This window comes from Homo sapiens, chromosome X (assembly GCF_000001405.40).
Source record: "Homo sapiens chromosome X, GRCh38.p14 Primary Assembly".
Classification (NCBI taxonomy): Eukaryota; Metazoa; Chordata; class Mammalia; order Primates; family Hominidae; genus Homo; species Homo sapiens.
In genome coordinates, this window is record NC_000023.11 from 124,626,548 (window position 1) to 124,651,548 (window position 25,001).

The 25,001-nt window shown below is 36.3% G+C and overlaps 1 protein-coding gene across 13 annotated transcripts in view; it reads right to left on the reverse strand.

The window, feature by feature from the left end:
- Window positions 1-25,001, reverse strand: part of TENM1 (teneurin transmembrane protein 1) — an 828,410-nt gene that overhangs the window by 250,645 nt on the left and 552,764 nt on the right. For all 13 annotated transcript variants that reach the window (XM_017029210.3, XM_017029211.3, XM_047441760.1 and 10 more), the window contains 3 exons: window positions 20,162-20,263; window positions 18,596-18,790; window positions 15,244-15,444 (listed from right to left, as the gene is read on the reverse strand). In XM_017029210.3, the coding sequence (XP_016884699.1) occupies window positions 15,244-15,444; window positions 18,596-18,790; window positions 20,162-20,263 (498 nt within the window). The remainder of the gene's footprint in view (window positions 1-15,243; window positions 15,445-18,595; window positions 18,791-20,161; window positions 20,264-25,001) is intronic.

Sequence of the window (25,001 nt, forward strand, 5' to 3'; positions counted from 1 at the left end):
GCAATCTAGAAATGATTTGCCTTTGTTCTTGTATATCTCCTGCCAAGGTGCACATAGTTTGCTTAGATATATGGTCCTTTTAAAATCATCTTTAAACTTTTATCTATTACCTGCTCCTTATGGTAGAGTTAATCATTCCTTGGGAGCTGAATTTCAGAATGGTGGTGGATCCTATTGCTTTCTACCAGAAGTCTTAAGGGACTGTGTGAGTTGCTTTCCCATGAAGCAGTGTTTTAGAGGGAGATGCAATAACCCAAAAGGAAAATTCCTCACACAAATAAAAATGTATTTATACACCAATCCTGCTGATACTGAATAGTAGGATGTGGGATAAATCTGTAAGAAAGTTTGTCTGTATCTAGCCTGGTGGCAAACATTATAGATTTTACTTGCTGCATAGGACTATTGACTAGGATTAGATTCTCCTCTCTAACTACCCATCGTTAAGATGGATATTCTGAAAAAGGTAGACATTAATCATTTCTTCACTATTTTGATCCTTGGTATAGCTGTTCCAGAGCTATGTTTGCATTTACATTTTGATTTACTATGTAAGGAGGCTGAGAGGTGGTGATGGATTGAGAGGCTTTCACACACTATGGGCATTCCATTGACTCCCAAGGACCATTTCAACCCTGCCCTCATGTGCCTTAAGTGAGGGGCAGCTCCCATTATGGATGAATTGCTGCTAATTAAAATGGATATATACACTCTGTCCTACTGTCATAGTATGTGGTTTGATAAGAATGATGGGCAGAGAAAAACAAACAAAAAAATTCTGGCCAAGTTAATGTGGTGACTAGCAAAAATAAATTTAGAAAAGGCCATTTGGATTTTATCAGAGTCAAGTCTATATATGAAAAGCTTATTGCTAAGTAAAACCTCAGATTTAATATGACCTCGTGGGAAAATGTGAATTTGGCCGTTGCATCCCCTAAAAAGGCCAGGCTCCGTGGCAGTTACACAAGGTATGGATTTGGAGAATGAGGTCATGGCAGCTCAGATGCCAACTGACAGCTTGGTGATCCCGAGCCACCTCTGTCCATGTCCCTTATACAGCACACATGATTTTTTAAACACACAAGCTAAATAAAGCATCAGAGGAAGACTTCATGGTGGGAGAACTATTCAAAGACTATTCTAAATGATAAACTCTAATCCTTACCAGTTTGTTTATAGTTATTATCTCCATAGGTCTTCTGGCTGGCTGGACCCAGAGTGTGTCTAACTCATTTTATGACATTAAAATTCTGCTCTCTCCAAGTTACAAACCTATTACTTTATTAGACATTTTATCTAAAGCATATGCTGGCTTCCTTCTTGAGAAACCGAAAGCCTGAGTTTCCCCAGCCTATATTCTATATAAGAAACAGGTTATCGTTAGGTATTTAATTATTCCACTGTCATTTCATATTTGTATTCTTTATCATCTTGTGTAGAGCTCTGAGTATTAACAACTTGATGTTCCTCTTGTCTTAGGAAATATAAATATATTTATTCCTTTATATTTCCTGGATACGATTTTATTGTCATAAACTAGAAGTAGATTTAAAATGGTTACCCTTGCTGTCTTATTATTGCCAAAAAGGATTGTTAGTCAGTTACATTAAGACTCAAATAATCATTTTTGGTAGACCTTCTCCATCTTTAATCCACTTTGTCAATAATTTCATACTGCAAGTTAACTTGTTTAGTTACCTTGGCGTTGGAATAGAATCAGTTTAATTTGGAATATATATGTAGTTACATTTTCCAGGCTAAACTTGATACTGCCATATGCTAAAGCACTGCTGCCCAAGAGAAATATAATGTGAGCCTTAAGTGCAAGCCACATATATTATTTAAAGTTTTCTAGTAGCCACATTAAAAAGTAAAACAAAATTATTTAGTAAAAATTATTAAAATTAATTTAAATAATATATTTTATTTAGCCCAATATATCCAAAATATCATTTCATAATGTAATCAATATAAAAATTAATAAGGAGATATTTTAATTAATCTTCCATACAAGTCTTGAAGAGGAGCTAAAGGAGAAGTGTCTCATTGGTTTCAATGAAAAGAAAAGTTTTATTTTAATTGAGCTATGAGTTTGTCTATCTTGAGGACACTGTGAATTACATAATTGATCATTTTTCCCTCTTGTGTTGGCTAAGAGGGAGTTAGAAAGCTACAGTACAATTAGACATTACTTAGCTATGCACATGACTTCCTTAAATAAAGATTACATTTCTCACTTCCTTTACAGCTAGGTGTTTTCACATGACTAAGTTATCGATCAATAAAATGTAAGTGAATGTTTCTGGCAGTAGCTTCAGTGAGGTCTTCTTAAAAGAAAGTAGAGAAGTCCCTTTGCCTCGTCATTTCTTCATTTCGCCTATAGTGAGGATGTAATAGCTAGAGCACTGGCTCCCACCGTGTACTATAAGGGTAAGGGCTCCATCCTAGAAATAGTACAGTGGTGAGCTGGAAGAAGCTTTCTTTCTGAAGTCACCATACAAGCCCTGGACTGCCTGCCTCTAGATTTCTTTTGCCTAAAATAAAATAATACTTCTATCTTGTTTATCTCTTTTTTTCCCCTTGGGGAGGTACTTCCAATCACTGAACTATAATCTTAGTTGACACATCAGGAATGTAAATTTTCCTTGAATGTGATTTTATAATAAACAGCATGGCTCAAAGTAAAGGTAGTGAAGAGGCAGAATAGCTACTTGTTAACTGACTTTCCAGTAAAACATATATCTGTATTCTGCAAACACAGGAAACAATACCATTTGGATAGTGACAAAAGAACATAAAGACTTTGGAGTAGAAAGAATTTTCATACTTCTTCAAATTAATTCAGCTTTACAGTGTTTAAAGATGAATTTCCTTGAGATTTATCATCTACTAATTTATCTTCTACTTACAAAAGATTTGTCTTTGAAATGTGTCTTTACATTGAGAATTGACATACAATGCCAACAATAGCTACAATCTATCATTATAATTTAGTGCCCACTATGGGAAAAGCATCATGCTATGTGTTGCACATATGTTATCTCATTTAACCCCTACAACTATATTACAAAATATTAATTATTTCCCTATTTTACAGGAGAGGCTCAGAGAATCCAAGCAACTTACTCAAGGTAATACAATAACTTGGAAACAGGCCTGGGATTTGAGTTCATTTCTGTCTGAATTTTTCCATGCTGAATCTCTGACAACTTTTATAACATTCTGATAGTCAAGAAAAAGGTCCCAGGATCCTTCCCCATATATGCTCATTGCCAACTTTCTAGAGATTCAGTGGAACTGTTGACAATGGGTAGAATCTGTTAAATTTATAGAAGGCTCTCTGAATGGTATATTGGATAAAAGATCTAAACCAGAAATCACAGTACCTGTTTTTCATACTAACTACGTGCCTAATGAGCTATATGACTGTCCATAAGTCATTTGACCTTTCTGGAACTCAGTTTCCTCATCTATAAAAGGAAAGGGCAGAACTAGGTGGCATCTAAAATCTCATCTATTGTCAATATTCTATGATTATGACAAGTCTGTCAAAAAAAGAAATGAACAAAAAGAAGACTGTTGGAAAAGAAAGTAGGCAATCATATTTAGAGTGCCTTAACTTTCATTGCTTGATATGCAGAATTCAATTTAAAAAATGAATGAACCTTCAATATCTTTCTTGGTAAAAAAGAAAAAAACTGAATGAACCTAGCAGAGAAGTGTGGGAAGCTTGTTTTGATTGTTGAAACTACTTATTCTTGACTCCACTATTAACCTCACTGACTTTAACTGCTATGGTTCCTGAAATGTCTTTTGAGCAATATTTCTTAGAACATTCTTTGCTAGCATGGAATAAGCTCTTCTAGTTTTGTGGAACTGGATCTAATATTGTTACCCATACCTTAGTAGACTACATTCTTAATTTTACTGGAACTTAAGTTGTTTTATCCACTTAGAGGAAAAATGCTAATCACTAAAAATGAATTGAAATGTGAATTTAGGTTACAAATAGTTTGCAGATGTGTAAATTGAGACCCATAGTGGTTCACGTGCCCAAGATTATATGGAAAGTCAGAGCTGTGCCAGGACATGGGTCATCTGCTGATTTGAGTGACCCAGAGATTTCATGAGGGTCCAGAGTGAGCAAAAGTTTTTAGCTACCTTGGGCCTGTGCAAGATTAGGGATATATATTGGGATATATATCCAATCTGGAAGAAAATGCGTGTTGCAGAGACATAGTAGAAGAAAATGATCTGTCTTAGTCTTGGGTCTATGAGGATGTTAAATATCAAGCCTCCTCTGAGACCTCATGGCCACTAGCCAGGTTTCATGTGGGTTTAGGGTTCGTATTTGTACTCTTTATTTGGCCTAAAGAATTGCAACATGATATTTTAAAGTTTACGCTGATTTGTAGCGTAGGCAGGTTTCTGACAGAAACAAATGTAAATCCTCACCAGAAGAATACTTTCTTCATACAGGACTTAGAGAGATTTCCAACCTGTTTGAGCTCACAATTTAAGAAAGCCAAAAACAAGAATGCAATTAATATCCAAGAGTTCAAAGAAGTAACAAACCATAGACCCACATCCACAAAGACTTCATATGCTGTATTTATCAGATACTGTATATAAAATAACCATGTTTCATGTAACCAAAAACACAATTAAGATGCAAAAAATTACCCAAAATAATGAGGCATATTTTTTTTAAAAAACTAAGTAAATATTTTAGAAACAAAAAGTAATCATTGAAATGAAAAATTAATAAAAGGGTTAAACATTACAATAAGCATAGCTAAAGAGAGATTTAGTGAGCTAGAAGATAAATACGGAGAAATTGCTTATAAGATAACAAAGGGAAACAAAGATAGTAAGTAAGAAAAAGGAGTAAAGGACATGGAGGCTAGAATGGAATGGACAGTCTAAGGGAACTTCCAAAAGGATACCAAAAGGGGGAAAATCAAGATTCAAAGAAATAAGGACTGAAATTTTTCTATAATTTATGTGAGACATGGGTTCTTATATTCAAGAAGCTCAGCAAGTCCGAAGTAGGATAAAAATAATGAATCTGGCTGGATGCAGTGGCTCGTGCCTGTAATCCCAGCACTTTGGGAGGCTGAGGCAGCCGGATCACAAGGTCAGGAGTTCGAGACCAGTCTGGCCAACATAGTGAAACCCCATCTCTACTAAAAATACAAAAAAATTAGCCAGGTGTGGTGGCATGTGCCTGTAATCCCAGCTACTTGGGAGGCTGAGGCAGGAGAATCACGGGCGAAGGTTGCAGTGAGCTGAGATCAAGCCATTGCACTCCAGCCTGGGCGACAGTATGAGACTCTGTCTCAAAAAAAAAAAAAAAAAAAAATCCATACAGTTTTTTTTTTTTTTTTGACAGTCTTGCTCTGTCACCCAGGCTGGAGTACAGTGGCGCAATCTCGGCTCACTGCAACCTCTGCCTCCCGGGTTCAAGCAATTCTCCTGCCTCAGCTTCCCGAGTAGCTGGGATTATAGGAGCATGCCGCCACACTCAGCTAATTTTTGTATTTTCAGTAGAGACAGGGTTTCACCATGTTGGTCAGGCTGGTCTCAAACTCCTGACCTCATGATCTGCCCGCCTTGGCCTCCCAAAGTGCTAGGGTTACAGGCATGAGCCACCACGCCCGGCCCATACTGATCTTTAAGAAAGGATATTGGGGTGTGAATTCTACCAGTGGCCTCAACTCTGAAGCATACACAATAAAGTAACTTGCCCTGCCTCTCAAAGTAAAGGAGTTCATTCAACTCTAATATGAAGAAACTATTACTTACCCTACTCATACCGTGTGGGTGTTATGAGACTAATAGAAACATTTTTGCTAGGATACTGGAAATTTGGTAGCTGGGGTACAAGTCAAGTTCTTTATAGCAGACTCAACTACCCATTCAGAGTCTCTATGAGCCTGACCTTAACAAGTTTCTAAGTGAAAATTTATTGTCCTCACTCTTTACTGAAGAACTAATTTATGTCCTTCCCATCCCTCTTCTCCTTCTCTCTAATGATTCAGGGAAATATATATGTAAATCAAATCTCTGGAACAGTCCTGTAGGTATTTTGTATCATCAAAGCTCAATATGCAATCCAAACTCTAATAATGACCCTGGATCATGGCCATAATGATGAAATAAAAAAAAACACTGGTATGTATTTGGAGAAAAAAAATAAAACAATCAGATAAATGCAGGATATTTTTATTACAGGAATAGTATCATTCAGCTTATTTGGGGTAAGCATATGGGGTACTCTTCTATATCTCCAATCACCTGATTTTGGAACACAGGATTGGGATAATTTATTCTGATCCTTCCCCATGGCCACTAATTTTTACACAATTGAATTATGGCTTCCTTCAACCTCTCTCAGCCATCTCCACCACAGAGCCTTTCTACTTTATCCTCCCCTGTCAGAGAATTTCCATGGCAGCAGGGCAAGCTGTAGTGGTAGACACTTTCTCCATAGGATCTCTCATATACAGGGACAGACACACCTTGTAAATACTTCCTTTTGGGATCTATTGTCACTTCATATAGCTAAAAATGAATTGAGAAAAATGACAAATAGCCAGTGAATCTAGAATTCAGAATAAGAGTTGAAGGAAGGGGAATAATGAAACACAAGATTTACCTGTTTTCTTTTGACATTTCCATTGGTCTGTCCAAATGGATTCTTACTGTACTGTACTTTATGTAAATAAACATGCACTCAGGTTTACTTACATTTTCTTGCTTCACAATTGCCATCTTATTTAAATATATGTCTCTGGTTTGAAAAATAGTTTTAAAGCTTTAATGGTTTGGAACAGTTAGTAGAGTTAGCTCAGACTTATAGAGAGGCAGCCGCAAACTTACCTTTTACTTCAAACTTGTCAAATTGTCAAAAGTTTCACTATATATTGCATTGTTGCCTGCTAATAATGGTATAACGTGTGGTTTTATTGTCTCAGAACAAAAATGTAAAAGATGTCTTTGAAAACATTTGATATTTGATGTGCTTTAAATTGCCTTACAATCTTAAATTACTATATATATATATAATTATAAAATCTTATGGCCATTAAATGAACTTTTGTATAAAGATAAAGAATTTTTGGATCTGAGACTATTTTGTGGTTCAATTTCTACTTTCATTTGGGCCAAAAAAGGCCTGGGGTGACAAATCATCTCTGAGTCGGATGTATGGCTATGATACCACTATAATAGTGTGATTTTTTTTCCATTTCATATCTACCTCCCAAAGATATTCCTGTAGATTCAGTCTTACACACTTAATTTGACTTGGAATTGTCTTAAGGATGCTTTTGAATTGTATTTCTAGTGCCACCAATGAATTTCATTTACTTCAATAATCTAGAGTTAATGTTTTAATCTCACTGTAATGTTAATGAAATAGCTACCATGTTTTATGCAGATGCTTGTTTTATTTAACCAATCAAATCAGAGTCACCTTAATGTTTATCTTTTATTTTTTTACTGAGTAGAAAAAGAATTATTTAAAAATAAATGTGAGCACAGGTTGTCATACTTTGAATATCAAGATGAAAATAATGAAGCCTGCATATGAATTAGGCATAAGCTTTTTGTCTTTTATCCACTAAAAAGCACTATAAATCCTCCTATCATATTTCTGTGACTACCTATATTTCAACTTTTTTATTGCCCCATATGATCTGCAGAAATGAACTTTAAGTCCAGGGAATTTGTAGCATTATGATAATATTAACATTATTGCTAACTAATAGAAACTTTTTTTTTCTGAGAACTCAGTTACTATTTCTAAGAAACCCAGGTGTGTGTCCAAAGCTGCAGAGAAGAATGTACCTGCAATCGTAGGTTCCTAATATGGTGACATTAACTGTCTCTTTGTCTACTGAAGATGCTAAATTCTAAATATCTTATATGTGAGTGGGCTTTTCCCTTCAGTGGCATGATGAATAGCTGCGTAGTTATCCTCATGGTGTTTGCATTACATTTTGAACAAAGATTCTTTAACAGATGGCATGTATGAGCCTGCTGTAACTGTTATGTGTAAAGGAAAAAAAAACACTGTGTACACATGAATCATTTCATAAGACCTAATAAATTCCTAGAAATTGCAGTAAAGTGATGCATTACATGTGCTAGACACGCAGAGTCATGTGAAAAATCTTTTGATTACTGGCACTTTCAATAAACGGGAGAACTAATAATGTTTTTAAAGCATATGGTACTTGTATAATCAAGGAAAGTTTCCTCAGCAACAACAATTATATAAACCTCTTACAACCTCCTCCTCTAATTATCTGTTTTATTAGTAGATGCATATCGTCATCCATTAGGGAACACTTCAAAACGTAATGAGACATTGTTATAATGAAGATATACACACATACACATGTTTATGTGTGTATGTATGTGTATCTCCATACATAAAGGGAAATCATCAAATAACATAGTCTATATATCAAAATGTGGATGTCCTTATAATGAAAACAAAGCTATTTACAATTAATAAACTCAAGAGAGTTTATGAACTAAATCTATGGACCATTCATAATCAGTGTCAATAGTTCAATATACAGTATTAAGAATCATAGATCTCAGTGTTGGAAAAGACCTCATGGGCCATTTTGCTAATCTTCCACTATTTCACAAATGAGGTGGCTAAGACTAAAAGAAATTAAGTTATTCATGGTCACTGTGTGTGAATACATGCACACCCACACATATACTGATATCTTTCTGATGGACAAGGTGGACACATGTCATAGGATAGTGTAAAAAGAAATATCCTTATAACAAAGCCTTCTGACATGTTAAGGAACTAACGTTCCTTAGAAGGGGCACATCATGATAATACCTTATATGATTTCTGCTGAATAGCAAATAGTATGTTGAAAAGAACCTCCAGGCCTAATGCTTCACATCTCTCCAGCTGATTAACCCACTTCTAAGATACAGCATAATCAGAGAGGATTGTAGCAGAGAAAGGACAAGAGTTGGCCTCTCTATTAAATGCCTACCACTTATAAATTTTGCTGTCAGTTATTTGCAAGTAATGATAGAGGGAGTGGTTCAAAGGAGGTTTCATCAAGAAGAGAGTAGTACAAAGTTCTAAACTGCTTTTATGCTCTCTTTCAAAGACTATGTGACCAGGACAAGTCAGATTTTACAAAAGGAATATAGCAGATACATTGTGCAATGCTGATCTCAGAGGCTAGGGCCAATACCCTTAGAATAGGCTAAATGTATTACTGAGATTTCATGATAAGGAGTTATGTTTTAAGGGAGCATGATTTGACCTGTAGTATATCCAAATCTAAAGTATATTATAACAAGCTGCTATTGTATTCCTCTTCAGGTATTTTTAAAGAATGAGTTAACCTTTGTGAAGTGTCGTGAGGCCATCAGGTTAAAGAAGCCTATATCAAATATCATTTTAGAGCTGTTAACAATACTCAATGTACCTAGAAATACAGACTGAAAATAATCAGTAAACCATTCACTATAGTCCCCCTGGTATCAGAGCAGCACAGTTAACATGCTAACAGCTAAGCTTCATGTGCTTAGTGGAAGAAAATGATCAATGGCAAAGAGCATATCCACCTTGGAAATGACATGATCCATTATAAGAATCAGATGTTAAATTGCTTCCTGTACTGAGCACACTCAATTAAAAGTCTGCACAGTGAGATCATCTCGATGGTTAAATATGCTCTGTGGGAACAACCTTTATGGAGCTTAAAAATCACAGAAGGACTATTCCTACCATGACACTGGAGATTTGGAAGGCATTTCCTTCCCTTATTTTTCAATCTGCTAGTTTTATTAGGAAGCCTTTTGCCTGAGAGGCTGCTGAGTTTTGGGTCATACCTATCCACCCTTTTGCTTCTGTGAACAAGAGATGATTCTAGTGATCTTTTTTCTTTGTGATCCAGAATGGATGAATGTGGCTTTGGTCCAGACCTCTGTACAAAAATGTGTCATTTATGTACTTGGTATTTGATGTCCTTTATCTCCTTTTCAGCAAACTAATCTATTCACCTGAGTTCTGTCTCCTTGTCTAACTTTTCCTTCTTCCTTTGGCAGGAGTAGGGCCTGAGGGCTGAAAAGAATGCTAGACATTACATAAAATCAGCAGACCTGGTTTCTTCTGGCAGGTTTGCAATTAGCCGGGTCTATGACCTTGGACCAATTATTTAACCTTTCTGGTTCTCAGTTTCTTCATGTTTCAAAAACTCATATATTTCTTGTTCATTTTTTACCATCTGTCTCTCCCTGACAGACTGCAAGCTCCATTAGTGCAGGAATCTTTGTTTTCTTCACTGATATATCCCAAAAGTGTAGCAGATGGCACAAAGAAGATATTCAATGAAAATTTGTTTAATAGATGAATATTTCACATCTCCGTTAGTAGTGTTACCATTCATATAGTCTCCCAATATAGAAATCATGGAGTCAGTGAAATTCCTGTCTCCCCTTATACCCACATAGTCACCAAGTGCTATTTTCTTTTTTCTTTTCTTTTCTTTCTTTCTTTTTTTTTTTTTGTGACGGAGTTTCGCTCTTGTTGCCCAGGCTGGAGCGCAGTGGCACGATCTCAGCTCACTGCAACCTCCGCCTCCCGGGTTCAAGTGATTCTCCTGCTTCAGCCTCCCGAGTAGATGGGACTATGGGCGCACGCCACCATGCCTGGCTAATTTTTGTATTTTTAGTAGAGATGGGGTTTCACCATGTTGGCCAGGCTGGTCTCGATTTCTTGACCTCGTGATGCACCTGCCTTGGCCTCTCAAAGTGCTGGGATTACAGGTGTGAGCCACCGCGCCTGGCCCCAAGTGCTATTTTCTAACCCCTCTCATGTCTGTCCTTTCCTTTCCATCTACACTTAAATTCCCTTATATCAAGTTTGCGTCATTTTTTTGACTATATTCTACAAACCATTTACCGAATGGTAATGGTAATGGTAATCTCCAAGTCATTTACCGAACGACTTTGCTAAAATGCAAGCATGGTCATGACACTACCCTCTTTAAACACCTTAAATGGCTTTCCTATTGTCCTCAGGGTCAAGTCCAAGCTCCTAGGCATGGCATACAGAGACCTTCATGATCTGTGGTCTTTTGTGATCACTTCCTCAACCATCAGTAAATATTAAAGACTCTTTGCACATTGTATCTCTCTCTCTATCTTTTAGCATTTAGTGCAAGGTATTTTCACCTTTATTCACATTTGCCTCCCCAACTATAGATGTTTCATCCTTCTTTGTATACTATTGCCTCACATGCTGTCGGAGACATAATAGGGGCTCAGGCTCAAGAAATGTTAGGCAAATAAACAAGTAAATGAGGAGGTTTTGACTAGTGCAGTAGTTCTCACACTGTGAGGCAAACTGCTTAACTTCTCTGTGCCTCAGTGCATTAAAATCCATAGGGATGCTGAGATGGATGGAAGAGGAACATTTAATGAATATTGAATCAGATACCTACACTTTTTTCCAGATCTAATATTCTATAGGGCTATCATTTTTTTCCCTCATCATTTCATTTGTTTTGGTGGGTAAGGGTTGTTTGGGGTGAGAAAGGAGTGGGGTAGGGTTTAGGGTACTTCATCTGGAAGAGAGAGAAGGAGGGGGCAACATACAGGCATGTTCATAATTACCCTTTTCCTCCCATTCTGTGATTTTCTTCTTGGCCAACAGGACTAGTGCATGTCTTTGTGTGTTAGGGAGTAGGAATGGGCAGGGAAAGAGAAACTCTCAGTACATTGAATTTAATGTTAACTCAATGGAAATACAAATATTTGAATTTATGCAACTGGAGAGTAGTACATTACCAGGAATTTTATCTAATTCTGAGGCATCAGGAAGGGCACATAAAGGATGTGAGTGATCTGAGGGAGCAATTATATGATTCAGAATCACTGTTTGATCAATATGTATTTATTAAATCATATATAAAGAGGCAAGCTTTTGACTCACTGTAAAGCACCCTACCATAGTAAAGACATTAATGTTGGTGTTCTCTAGGGTTCTGATTTTCTTCATTCTCATTTTCCACACTCTCCCTGGACAGTAGCTTGCATTCCTGTGGTCCCAAACTATGTTCCAAATATTTGTCTGTAGCTCAGGATTCTTCTCTAATTTCATTATTGACTATCAACCCCTCGCTGGCCATATGCAAGCGGGATCTTCTGCAGATGCCTACAACACAGCATGTCCACAACTGAGCTCACCATAGCTGGCCCCTCTGCCCCAAACCTACTTTTCGGCCTATGTCTTTTCTCTCTCAGTTGGCGGCACTTACTTTTGCCTAGTCATCCAAAGCAGTTACCCTGTCTCTTTTCTCTACATCTACCGTGGTCATTCCTCTCTAGTCTGTTTCCACCTCACCATTCTCACAACTACAGCTTCAATTCAGGCCCTTCTCACCATCATGCTCCTTGACTACTCCAATAATCACATTGCACATGTCTCTTAGTTCCTTATATCATTCAGCTACAATTGGTCTTCTCAATAGTCTATCTCAAAGGTGGTTTGTTTTAAATCACTCAATGCTTTCCTATTGCAACAAGAAGAAATGCAAATTCCTCAGCATAGTGTGTAAATAAAACTCCCTATTTTCTGGCCCCTGCTCATCTCACCAGTTTTATCTCCTTCTGCACTCCTAGGCTATAGCTATACCCAATGGCTTGCAAGTCCCCAAATGTGTCATTTAGATTCATAGCTCTATTTCTTTGTTTAAACTGCTCCTTCTGCCTGAAATGTTCGTTCCTCTCTTGTCCATGTGATAAACATGCAATCATCATTCTGGTGTTAATTCAAATGTTAAGACTTCTACAAAACCTTACCTGACTGTAAGGCTTCTTCTCACAAAAATAGTCTACTGCTCCCTCCTTTGTGCTCTGTGACACAGGGCCCTGGACATGGTCCAACAATGATACATTTTTATATGTGGTGAGTTAGATAATAAATTTTAGAGGACAGTGCAGTATAGTGGTGAAATGTATGAACTGTGAAGCCAGAAGCTATATGATTATATGATTGTCTCTGGGCAAGTTATTTCACCTCTCAGTGCCTTGGTTTCCTCATCTGTAAAGTAAGCATGATTATCATACTTACAGAGTTGTTATCAGTGAGTTAATATATGTACAATGCTTACAATAGTGACTAATACATAATAATTATTATGTGTTTGCTACAATAATAATAACATTAATATTATCATTTTTAACTTAAAGCTCTAAGCCATGATAGTGTATCTGAAACATGGAAGGATGGAAAGTATTCAGTAACATTTAGTAAGTAAATTAATAATCAAGTTAGGTCCCTATTGTACAGTCTCATAATACCCAGAAACTTTCCCTTTGTAACCTTTTTCTAACTTGTTCAATGTCTCTCTGACTAAACTGTAGGATCCATTTGTGCAAGGACCACATCCACCGTGTTCACTACTATAACCCTAGCATCAAGTACCATGCCAAGCACTTAGCAGGCACATGTATATTTGTTAGACATAAAGGTTATAGAGGTTATATATACATATAACCTCTATATGTATATAGAGATATACATATCTATATCCTATACCTAAGGATATAGATATATATGGTTTTTAAGATTTTCATTTTCGTTATTATTAGATTACCTTTAGCATTTTGATCATTTTCTGAAATTGTAAAATGTATTCCTCTTTCCTGTATTACGTCTATGTGAGGCAACAAAATTTCAGTGAAGTATTGTTAGAATTGCAGTGAATTATTACGCTAAAATTAAGCCTTTTAACAGAGAAATTCTCCTCTTTCCTTACGGTGTAGGATCACAGACTTTTCAGCTCATGAGCTAATCCAGTGGTACAAAAAGTCCCACAGTGCTTCAATCTTTCCTGCTTACCACGTCATTTTACATCTTTAACAAAATTCATAGGCAGAGGCTTTCTAAGAGTTACCACTTATTAATTATACTTATTTAATGAGTACATGGTTTGAAGAAAAATGGTATAAAGAATGACTTGTTATTTTTAGAACTTATAATTCAGGCAAAAAGACAAGCCATGTGCACACATATCTACATCACAATGTTTTCTGTGCTCTTTAGCAATGTGCATGGTAAGATTTCAGGGGATCCTGGCCGGTGCAGTGGCTCATGCCTTTAATCCTGCCACTTTGGGAGGCCAAGGCAGGCGGATCACGAGGTCAGGAGATCGAGACCATCCTGGCTAACACGGTGAAACCCCATCTCTACTAAAAATACAAAAAAATTAGCCGGTCGTGGTGTCACGCGCCTGTAGTCCCAGCTACTCGGGAGGCTGAGGCAGGAGAATCACTTGAACCTGGGAGGCGGAGGTTGCAGTGAGCCGAGATTGCGCCACTGCACTCCAGCCTGGGCGACAGAGCGAGAATCCATCTCCAAAAAAAAAAAAAAAAAATCAGGGGATCCCTGTTGATGTGATCAGGAAACATTTTATGGAATGGCTAAAATTATAGTTAGTCTTGATGGACGGGTTGGATTTCACTAGGTGGAAGTACAATAGCATCTCATGAAGAGGAAAAGGCATGGAGAAAAGCATAAAAATATGGTTCATTAAGGGTAAGGAGAGCACATAGATTACTTTGGCAAAGGAACGATTTATGCAGGAAGCAAAAATAGAAGATAGGCTGGAGAAAGATTTTTGGAATAGTTTGTGGTAGGCTTTTGATCATAGACTAGGACACTTGAAGTTTATCTACAGATAATGGGAAACTATAGAAGATGCTAGAGTAGGGAATGAAAAAAGGAAAGCAATGTTGTAGGAATAGCAATTGAGTGGCAATATAGCAATATGTAAAATGGGATAGAGTTCCTGGGCTAAGTTGTGCTTTTAAGTGATGGGACACCCAGTAGAAATATTTCGCAGATGGTTGGAAATGCCAGATTATTTGAGTTTGGGAGAGATATAATTTGAAATCATCTGCATAGAACTGACAGTAGGAGACTTGGGAATGTATTAAATAACTGTAGGAGAATACAAAATGAAGACAGAAATTCAAGCACAGACCTACAAGGAAAAACAAGATGAAAAAAATAGGTAACAGCGTATTATAAATAAAAATGCAGTAAAATACTAACCTAGGACATACCTGGAAACCTCTTAGGACTCACAAAGGTGTACAGATCATATTTTAAGAAACACTGCCTTAAGGAAGGAACAGTTAGAATTTAAGAGTAGAGGAAGGAGAAGGAAATTAACTCCACTACACCTGTTGAGCAGTCAGATCCTGTCCACTTGGGATCACAGCTGCATACTCCAGCGTCCAGAAGAAAAGTTCCGTGTCCTGAGCACTGCTCTTGACATACAGGAAGTGGTGTTTCACAGTTAACTCCTCCCCAGCCAGTAGAACAGTGACATTCTCCTTTTACACAGATGCCATGGTTGGAACACATTGGGTCTAGGCAGTCCTCTGAAGGCACAAAAAAGTGGGGGGGAGGGGTGATTAATAGTGAACAGGTATGGCCAACATACCTTAGTATGATGAAACGGAGATTACATTGATTTCCTAGTTTATATCATCAATGCTGCTTTAATTAGGCAATAAAATGACTCATGCAAACACTCTGTCCAAACCATATTATTAACACTTCAAAACATGGTGGGGTATCACAATGGTTGCAATCTCAATTGAGAAGGAAAAGGAAACCACACATGTGCTGTGTGAAACTGTGAACAGTGTGCAGTACCCCCACACAAATAAGTGGGTGGAGTACTGTGGGCCTTCAACAGGAATTGCTCAGCTTCGCAAAAAAGCCCAAGAGTTTTTGCTAAGTCATTCCTTATCCTTTCTGAAAATGGAAGCGATAGCTCCCAGAGAAGACTTTTACTTGATATGTCTAGAGGAGTTTATATAAATTTTTGAAATTTGGATTATTCAAGGTATTGGGTGAGGTGAATGCTGTTGCATGAAATAATAAAATTTACATCAATTTATTATAATCTCTCATTTATTCCTTAAAAGTACTGAAAATGTAATATTTTAAACTTAATTTAAAAATTCACTTCTTCATGGCTTCTCCTTCTATGAGAACACGGTGACATAGTTTTCAGTGTCTTAGAATATCACAGATCCAATTCCATTTGTCTCTGATTCTGTGAGTCTGGAAATTTTTGTATACATTCTAACAAATGTGTATACTGTTTTAGAGGTAGGTTCTTGTGCTTGCCTGGGGGAAAAATTGTTTTGTGATTTTAACTAGTAACCATTCCATGGGAAATAGAAAGGTTGATTTCCAAATTTCTAGTCTTTCTATACAAATAAAATGAGACTAAAATAACTAATCGTAATGAGGACGTATGATTTGAATTACTTCTCCAGCAATGCAAATAGACTGTGACAACCCGCCTGCATTTCCAAGACTGCCTAGTTTTAGGGTGTGGCTTGGGTCTGTGGAACAGAGTAAGTCTAACTAAGCACTATTATAATTGGTGTTATTGCCACTATAATTAGCCCAAGAGCTTGGAGTCATTAGCACAATAATTTATTATCTGAGCTAATAAGCAAATAAATACCAGAAGGTACATCTAATTTGATTCATGATTTGAAGAGAGAGGGAAAGTCCAAAGTATAGAATCTGTTTTCAGAAGAAGGCCATTTTGTTATATTAAAGAATAATAATTTTAATAAAGTAGTATTTAACTTAATACAGCCTATTTTATTAAGAAGCCTGCTTCAATGTATTCATGGAAGTCATATTTAAATCATTCATGTCATATTTAATTTAGAAGCACAAAATCATATGGCTAAAGGGGCCAGGCAGGTGGCATACAGGAAGGAAATGGGCCATATGGAAGAAAAAAAGGGTGTGTTGGGAGCAAACTGAAAGCAAGCGCCCTTTTAAAAAGAACTGCTGCTACTTGGCTCCAGTTGATTGCCACCACGTAGCAATGTGGGCCCAGGGTCACCAGATTTTCTAGTGTTTAGAGAAGCCAGAAATAGGAATTCTCATGTGGCAGTTCCCTATTTTTAAATTTTGGCAAATAAGTCACATTAAACAACAGCAACAGCAGCAACACAGTGTGAGCCAAACAAAACCCATTCAGAGGCCTGGTTCAGCCTGTGGGCTCCTGCTGCAAAGTTTGACTTAAAACATCTTTTTTTCTATTGCATTGGAAAAATTTATACCATTAAATGTACTGAGCATTATTCCTTAATATCTTGGTTATTCTACAGATATTCTTAGTGACCCCGGAGAAGACAAATTTAAGTGAACTCTTTTCTAAACTGCTTACAAAATTTAAATTAGAGGGGTCTAAATTAATTAGATTACATGTTTTTCATGGCAATTTGTAGATGTGATAGTATTTTTTTACTAACACTGTGTGGGTCTATATAGCATATGAATTTGCAACTTAAATATAATTATTTCAGCTGGATCACCATAAAAACACTTTCTGAAAGTAACTCAGAAACTCCAGTGCCTTGTCTAGGCCAAATGCCATTTATATATAATATAAATGGCATATATATATATATATATATATATGTGTATATATAATATAAATGGCATATATATATGTATATGGCAGATATATACATATATATGCCATATATATATATAAATTTATATATATATGGCATATATGGCATATATATATATAGACATATATATATAAATTTACATATACATATATATATATATATGGCAGATATAATCATCACACCAAAATTCTACTATCGCTAATGGGAGGTGAAAAGCTAAAGTCTTGCTTGTTCATGGAGTGGAATGAGATTAAACCCGTTAGAATGCTGTGTAATAGTCTTAATGAGCCATCTTTAAAAAGCAATTATTGTGCATTTCCAGCAGCCTCTTTCCCGAACAACAGTTATGATGAGACCATCTCCCATGGTAATGGTTTAATATTATTTCTGAAATCAGTCTTGTTTGAGGAATGTAGCATGAAAAACGTCTGATTACTAGTAAACTTATTTTCCAGTGCGTCTCTTTAAATGATAAAACTTGCCATTTCAAAATTTTGGGGGGATAAAGACTCCTTTGGGGTGAATTTAATATAAAGGCATGGCTTTGAAACTCATTAGTAGTAAGCCTGCTTCCTTAGGCATGGAGGTCAAGTTTCAGCATGAGGTATGTAAAAATAAATAATATAAAGCAATAATAGTAATGGTAATTACAAAACACTCCCAAAGAAAACATTTGCAAAATGGCTGCAAACGTGCATATATTATTATTTTTATTATGTGCTTTAAAGTGAGATGTAGCATAATGCATTCTGTAATAATGAAATCATATGAGTTAACACCTAAAATCATCAATATGGACATTCTCAACCTAGAAAATAGTGAGAGAAATTAGGGATGTACAATACTATTTTTCATTATTGCTCTGAAAGTGTCACAGATACAGCCTCATGTATAACATTAGAATCTGTCAGAAGAGACAAGAGCTCCGCTGACCCAAACCCTCTGCTGCATGTACTAAGACGCTGAGCATTTATTGTTTGCAAAGGCCACTTGCATCTCTACTAGGAGAACAGAATGACACCTTGGACAACTGAGTGAGAGAAAAGCCTGAAGCAATAGATTAAAATGGGATTCTGACCTTCCTCGCATATTTCTCCTTTGTATCCTGGCACACAGATGCAGACTCCCATGATGCAGGTGCCGTGGCCAAAGCATGTTGGATCAATGCATTGTTCTTCCGGAACGTCACACTCTGGCCCCTTCCAGCCATGCCGGCAGACACAGTGTCCTTTCTCGTATTCTCCATTCCCACCACACAGCACAGGGCAGGAATCTGAAGGTTGGCAAATGAACTTGTAATGTTCTCATAATGCTTTCAAAGTCTCCAAAGAGCAATTCTCTATTGATTTTCGTATTTCAGGCAAAAAATTGTACTATTTCTGTCTTACCCTTTATTAAATAGGCACATGTTCATGATTACAAACAGAATTTTCCTCTTATGGGAGTGAAATAAAGGTAAATTAAAAATATCCTGAGTGGAGAAATTATTTCAAGTACTTGCATTTGATCTCACCCTACTCTTAAACTGTTATTGTTATTATTTTAAGCTAGGATTTTTCTTTCTTATATTTTTCTTCCTCAGGGAGATATGTGTTTACTTTTAGGAAGCAAAATCTGAAAATTTAAAAAGCAATAAATGAAGTTATTAATGTTATAAAATATTATCTTTAAAAAGTTGTGTAATTAAATAGATTTCTATTGGACAGATGTCTGTTCCTATAACACATTGTGCAGACCTTTATTAGAATGCTAATTCTGCTTTGTCATTGTTAGTCTCCTTATTAAAACTATGCACTTTTTGAGGACAAGGCCTGTATTTTTTGTCTTATTGATTTTTTAATACCAACCATCACCTCCACACTCAACCCCCACCTCCTCAAGATCTATCATGGTGCTGGGAACCTAGCAAGTGTTTTAGAATTCGCTACTGAATGGAATTTAATAGAAAGAAACCAAGTGTCTGAGAAACCTGATATTAAAATATTAGCAGACTGGGAACTTTAAGAATACAGTGAAAATGAGCAGAAAACATCTCTGAAATAATAACTGTAAGTCTACGGGAAAACATGATGTGATTTACCTAAAGCTTTTCAAAAATTAAACTATGGGCAAGTCCAGGAAGAGTGAAGTTTGCTAAGTTTGACTTCTGACTTTCCAGTCGTTACTTTGTAGGCTCCTTACTCATTTGGTGATAACCCACCCCTTCCACATACATTGGTGTGTACAAGCAGTTATCAACTTAGTTCACTTTTAAAGTCAGCTCATTATGAATTAGTTTCTGAAGGAAATACAAGCATCACATAGTGACTGGTCAGACAACCTATCTACAAATCCCAGCTGTTAGGTAACCCTGGTTAAGTCACTTAAACTCTCTGGCATTGTTTCTTTGCCCATAAAAATTGGATAATAGCAGACCTATCTCATAGGGCTATTGTAGGAAGTTGGAATTAAAAGACGGAACACAAAGTGTTTAGAACAGTGCCTGGCATAGTAAGTGCTCAGCTTTTGGCAGCAGCCATAGGGAACACTGCTGCTGTTGCTGTCACCACTACTAATGTTACTTACTATGACTATTACTACTAATTCTGGGTTATGAAATCACATCTATTTTCCTAAACCAATCAGAATAACAGAGCAACATTACCTCTAGCACAGTCAGGTCCAAGGAATCCTGGGAAACAATGACAATGGCCAGAGATACACTCTCCATTTCCATTGCAATTGGTTGAACAGTCATCCATTATTTCTAGTAATACAGAGAAAAAGATAAAAAAAATGAACGCATCTCCAGGCTGTAGAGTCTTTATTTTTTTTTAAGTTGCAGGAACTCTGGACCTATGACAATTTTGCCCTTTGCTGTTTGTGGAGCACTTACTGCTCAAAATCACATACAAAGACATCTGTAAGATGTCACATGCAGTACAAAATTATAAAAAGGGCCCTGGGTTTGCTGACTTGGCCAATCAAGAGTGGAACCAAAAAACATCATTATCTCTAAAGCACATAAATGTTCTAGTTCAACTGTATTCTTAAGAGACATTCATGATAAAGCTAAAAAATGTACCAGGATTACAGGGCATTTCTCAAAAGCAAAACAGGCTTTAAAATGTAACACAGATGACTAAGTCTACTGTTTATTTTTCAAATTTAGGTTTTAGCAAATAAAGTTTCTTCTCTAGCAACTTATTTAATCTACTATCTTGACAGCTTAAATATGATATTCAGTATTTCATTTTCATTAATAAGTGACAATGGAAGGCTTTTAAAGTAAGTGTTCATATTAAATTCACCACCACTAAAAGCATTAGAACCTAAGTATTTTGTTGAGAAATGCTTTCTGAACTGTAAATGCTTATCCGTTTTCTGCCACTAATTTCCTTTCAATCCATTCTTAGAGAAGAATGGATTTCAGATGAATTGAGATGGCTTTGAAGGTACCGATAGGTAGTTCTGGTGACATAAATATGTACCGTGCAACAGAACTTTTATAAGACTTACAGTAACTTCTCTGAAAATCTATAATATTATACAAATGTCAGTCTCTCTGACAATGAGGTGAAAAAATGTTTGTATTTTAAAATTGTGTTTGAGCACAATAATGATCAAATTCTAAGTCTGAACTATTATGGTACCTATGCTTTATTCTCGCAGGGATTTTTTTTTGTGGTGTGTGTGTGTGTGTGTGTGTGTTTGTGTGTGTGTGTGTTATCGTCTCCTCATTACACCTTTCTATAAATTTCTCATACTCAGCATTCTTGGACTCTGAGTTTAGTGTTCTGGCCTATTAAACTCACACTTTTCTTGTGTACCATTTTTTCCCTTTTCAATCTAAATTACCTGCTTCACCAAGTTTCACTTGGATAAGCTATTTCTGATTAGAAGGAGAGATTCTAGGAGGTGGTCCTGATATCTTCCACTGAACAATAAGAGTGAGAATTTATAATGAGGGTCGAGAAATAGCATTTCTACAATTGTGGCCTGTGGATTACTTGTATCAGTAGATCACCTGGGGCACTTAAAATGGAGATGCCTGTGTTTCAGCTCTAGATCTACCAAACCTGCTTCAGAGGAATGCAGCCCAGTCATCTACATTCTGACAATCACCACATGAGAACATTGAGAACCAATGCTTTAAATAGTAACCTTCCATAGTTAGAGAACTTTGTTCTAAATGTTGCATTTTTGCCTTGAGAAGAATAAAAACAAGAAAAAGAAAGAGGTATCTAGTCCATTTGGGGGATTCTTAAAAGCTGAGAATGAATCCAGTGGCTGGATAGCCACCCTATTATCAATTGAAGATATTATTTGTCTAACCACTATGTGAACACATGCCTTTTGCGGGTTTATGCCAGTCTGGTCCCTCATCACAGTGTTAGAAAACTCAAATGGATAAGCAAATAACACCTGACATTCACTTAACCACACCTGGGCTGACTGAAATGTAGCATTCAGCAAAGAGCCAACTATTTTTAACTCATTAAAACACTAGTTATCATCAGAAAATCACTAATTTACTTGACAAGTAGTTATGAAAAGGCATAAAGAGACTTTTTATCATTCAGAGATGGAACAATTATTTATCTGTTTTCTACTTATCTAGCTTCCTTGTACCAAGCAGTAGTGCCACTTCTTAAGTCTACATTTGAATTTCCCCCATGCTGGATGGTTAGTAGAAGGCCATAGAGGAAGCTTTCAAAAATAAGTATAGTTGAATTTAATTTCATACCAGATCCTATTGGAAACTTTATGGAAGCAGCCTTGTGGGAATGTAGCTCTTCTGGAAAAAATGTTTAATAAAGCTTGCTATCAAAATAAATAAAAATCCGTACATCTTATTGACTTATTTAAGAACTGTCCCTGAGCTCAAAGGGCTTTACAAAGCTTAACCCCAGCAATGCAAATGAGAAGAGAAGGCAATATAGGCTTTGAAGCTGCCACTTCCACTGGGTATCAAAGAGACATTGGAACAGCCGAGGGACTCCAGGAGGAAGATGGCTGCAGCAGGAACACATAAACAACTAGCCATGAAAAAAAAATGTGTTTTTCTATTTATGTTGGCCTCCAGTAATCTTTGACTTCTATCTTTTAAATCTTACTTCAGAATTACTTCCTAGAGTCCAGTTTCTTAGAGGTGAGAATAATTTTGAAGTTCTATGTTTAAACCCTGTTCTTATGCTACAGTCAAAAGCCCCTTGATATTTGCATCTTCGCTGATGATAGGTTTTGTTTCTGGTAGTTATTCTCATGGGAGAAACTAAATGTAATGAATACTCTTATAGAATGAGTATAGTCTAAAGGGTATGGAATTTGGAATCAGACATACTGGTTCTCAAATTTCAATTTTGCCACTTGCTGTCTGTGAGACCTTGCCAAATTATTTAATCTTTTCAAGCCTCCATTCAGTTATTTGTAATATATGTATCACTATTCCTGAGCTATCTGGGTTGTGATGAGAATCAAACAAGATAACTGAGTGTAAAGCATCTAGTACAGTGCTTGGAGCAGAGTGGCATTCCATAAATGCTATCTATTATCCTGCTACAGAGCAAGTTGCCTGAGATTAAGGGATACTGACAATGCTGCCTATACTACTGGAAAATAATATATAATAACTTAGGCCAGTGTTTGACCTATATTAGTCATTTAGTAAATGTTAGTTATTAATTGTCTTCATCCTTGTTAGTAGCAGACCAAATATAGTTGAGATCAATCAACTGATTCTAACATTATCATGAAATAGATAAATGAGCAGCGTTTAGAGCAAATTCATACAAATCTGACTTTGTTTAATCAAGTATATTGGCTTCTTTTTACTCTGATTAAGATAAAGTTCAAAAACAAAAATAAAATGAGGAGGTCAGGCATGGTGGCTCATGCCTGTAATCCCAGCAATTTGGGAGGCTGAGGCGGGTGGATCATCTGAGGTCAGGAGTTTGAGAGCAGCCTGGCCAACATGGTGAAACCCCGTCTCTACTAAAAATACAAAAATTAGCTGGGAGTGGTGGCAGGTGCCTGTAATCCCAGCTACTCTGAAGGCTGAGGCAGGAAAATCACTTGAACCCAGGAGGCGAAGGTTGCAGTGAGCCGAGATCGTGCCATTGCACTCCAGCCTGGGCGATGGAGAGAAACTGTCTCCAAAAAAAAAAAAAAAAAAAAAAAAAAAAGAAAGAGGAGAATTTAGGGTGAATGACTTACAAGCCTTTTGATTTTGGGAAAATTTACTTGAGTTTTCTTTAAGTGGAATGGTAGCAGAAACGTTTCTGTTGCTTCTAATTTTAAAAAGACAAGAGAAAAGTAAAGAGACTGACTTGCATTAAGCAAAGAGCAAATATGTTGTTGTATATGAAACTGACAGCTTGATATGTGGATGATATGAATTGTATCTCAAAGTTTAGGTTCTTTGGGGGAGGAAGTAAGGGACAGGAAAAAACCTCTAAGCATGTTTCTGGGTCTATTGATTTTTGGAAGGTTAATAGATCGGTTAGTGTTTTAACTTGAGCTGAAAGAGTAAGAATAATAGGAAGACAGAAAGTCTTCACAAATATTTTATTTCTTCTAATTTATCTAATTTTTAGGAGAAACTCAACCTTTTATAACTCCTCGACATGCACATAATTAATATTAAGCCTCCATAGAAAAATGCCATGAAATATTCATCCATTGAACCTGCCCCACTGAGCCTGTCAATAGCAAAACAGTGACATGACTTAAAAATTTATTTTCTATTTTAACAAACAAATATTTTGTCTTTTGAAGATATAAGATCAGTGGAGTTTTTCTCTAGGGGAAACATCATCATTTCCATTGTATTGACTTTCTGATTACTTTAGAAGAAAGTTTTGATAATCTTACGGCTGAAATACCATTTTCTATTGACTCAAGGTCTTCAGCATCAAGTAAAAATAGAACATAATTGTTAAAAAGAGCAGATGGTATATCTATTAAAGTCAACACATCTTCCTAAACATATGGCTGAACAGGTTAACTAAAGGATAAAGTGGTGAGGATTGTATTGAAAATTGACAGCTGTAAAATATTTTCTTGTCTTTTAAAAGACATGTGTTTTAGGAAAATTCACACAATACGATACTGTGTCTATGAGTTGTTTATTTTCAGGACTCTAAAATTGCTAAGGAGCTCAGCTTTATTCACACAAAGGGTCACGAGGACTATTTATCCTAAAATGACAAAAGAGTGAGACGTCTGAAACTAATTAGGGTGAAAGTGAATGAGTATAGGCAGGCATCGCATTAAAAAGAACATGTTTTAAAAGGCCCTGAGCACACTGAAAGAGACATTGTGATGAATTTCAAACTAAAATATTCTATAAGAAAGGGCTTTGAATGTCTCAAGTTATTATCCTTAATATTCTTCTGTAAATAATCTTATGTTGTATTTTAAAGCCCTAATGCTTCTAGAACCAGTTGTTCTAAAGAAGAACTGTACTGATACTAGTTTTTTCTATTTGAAAAAGGTATTCATTG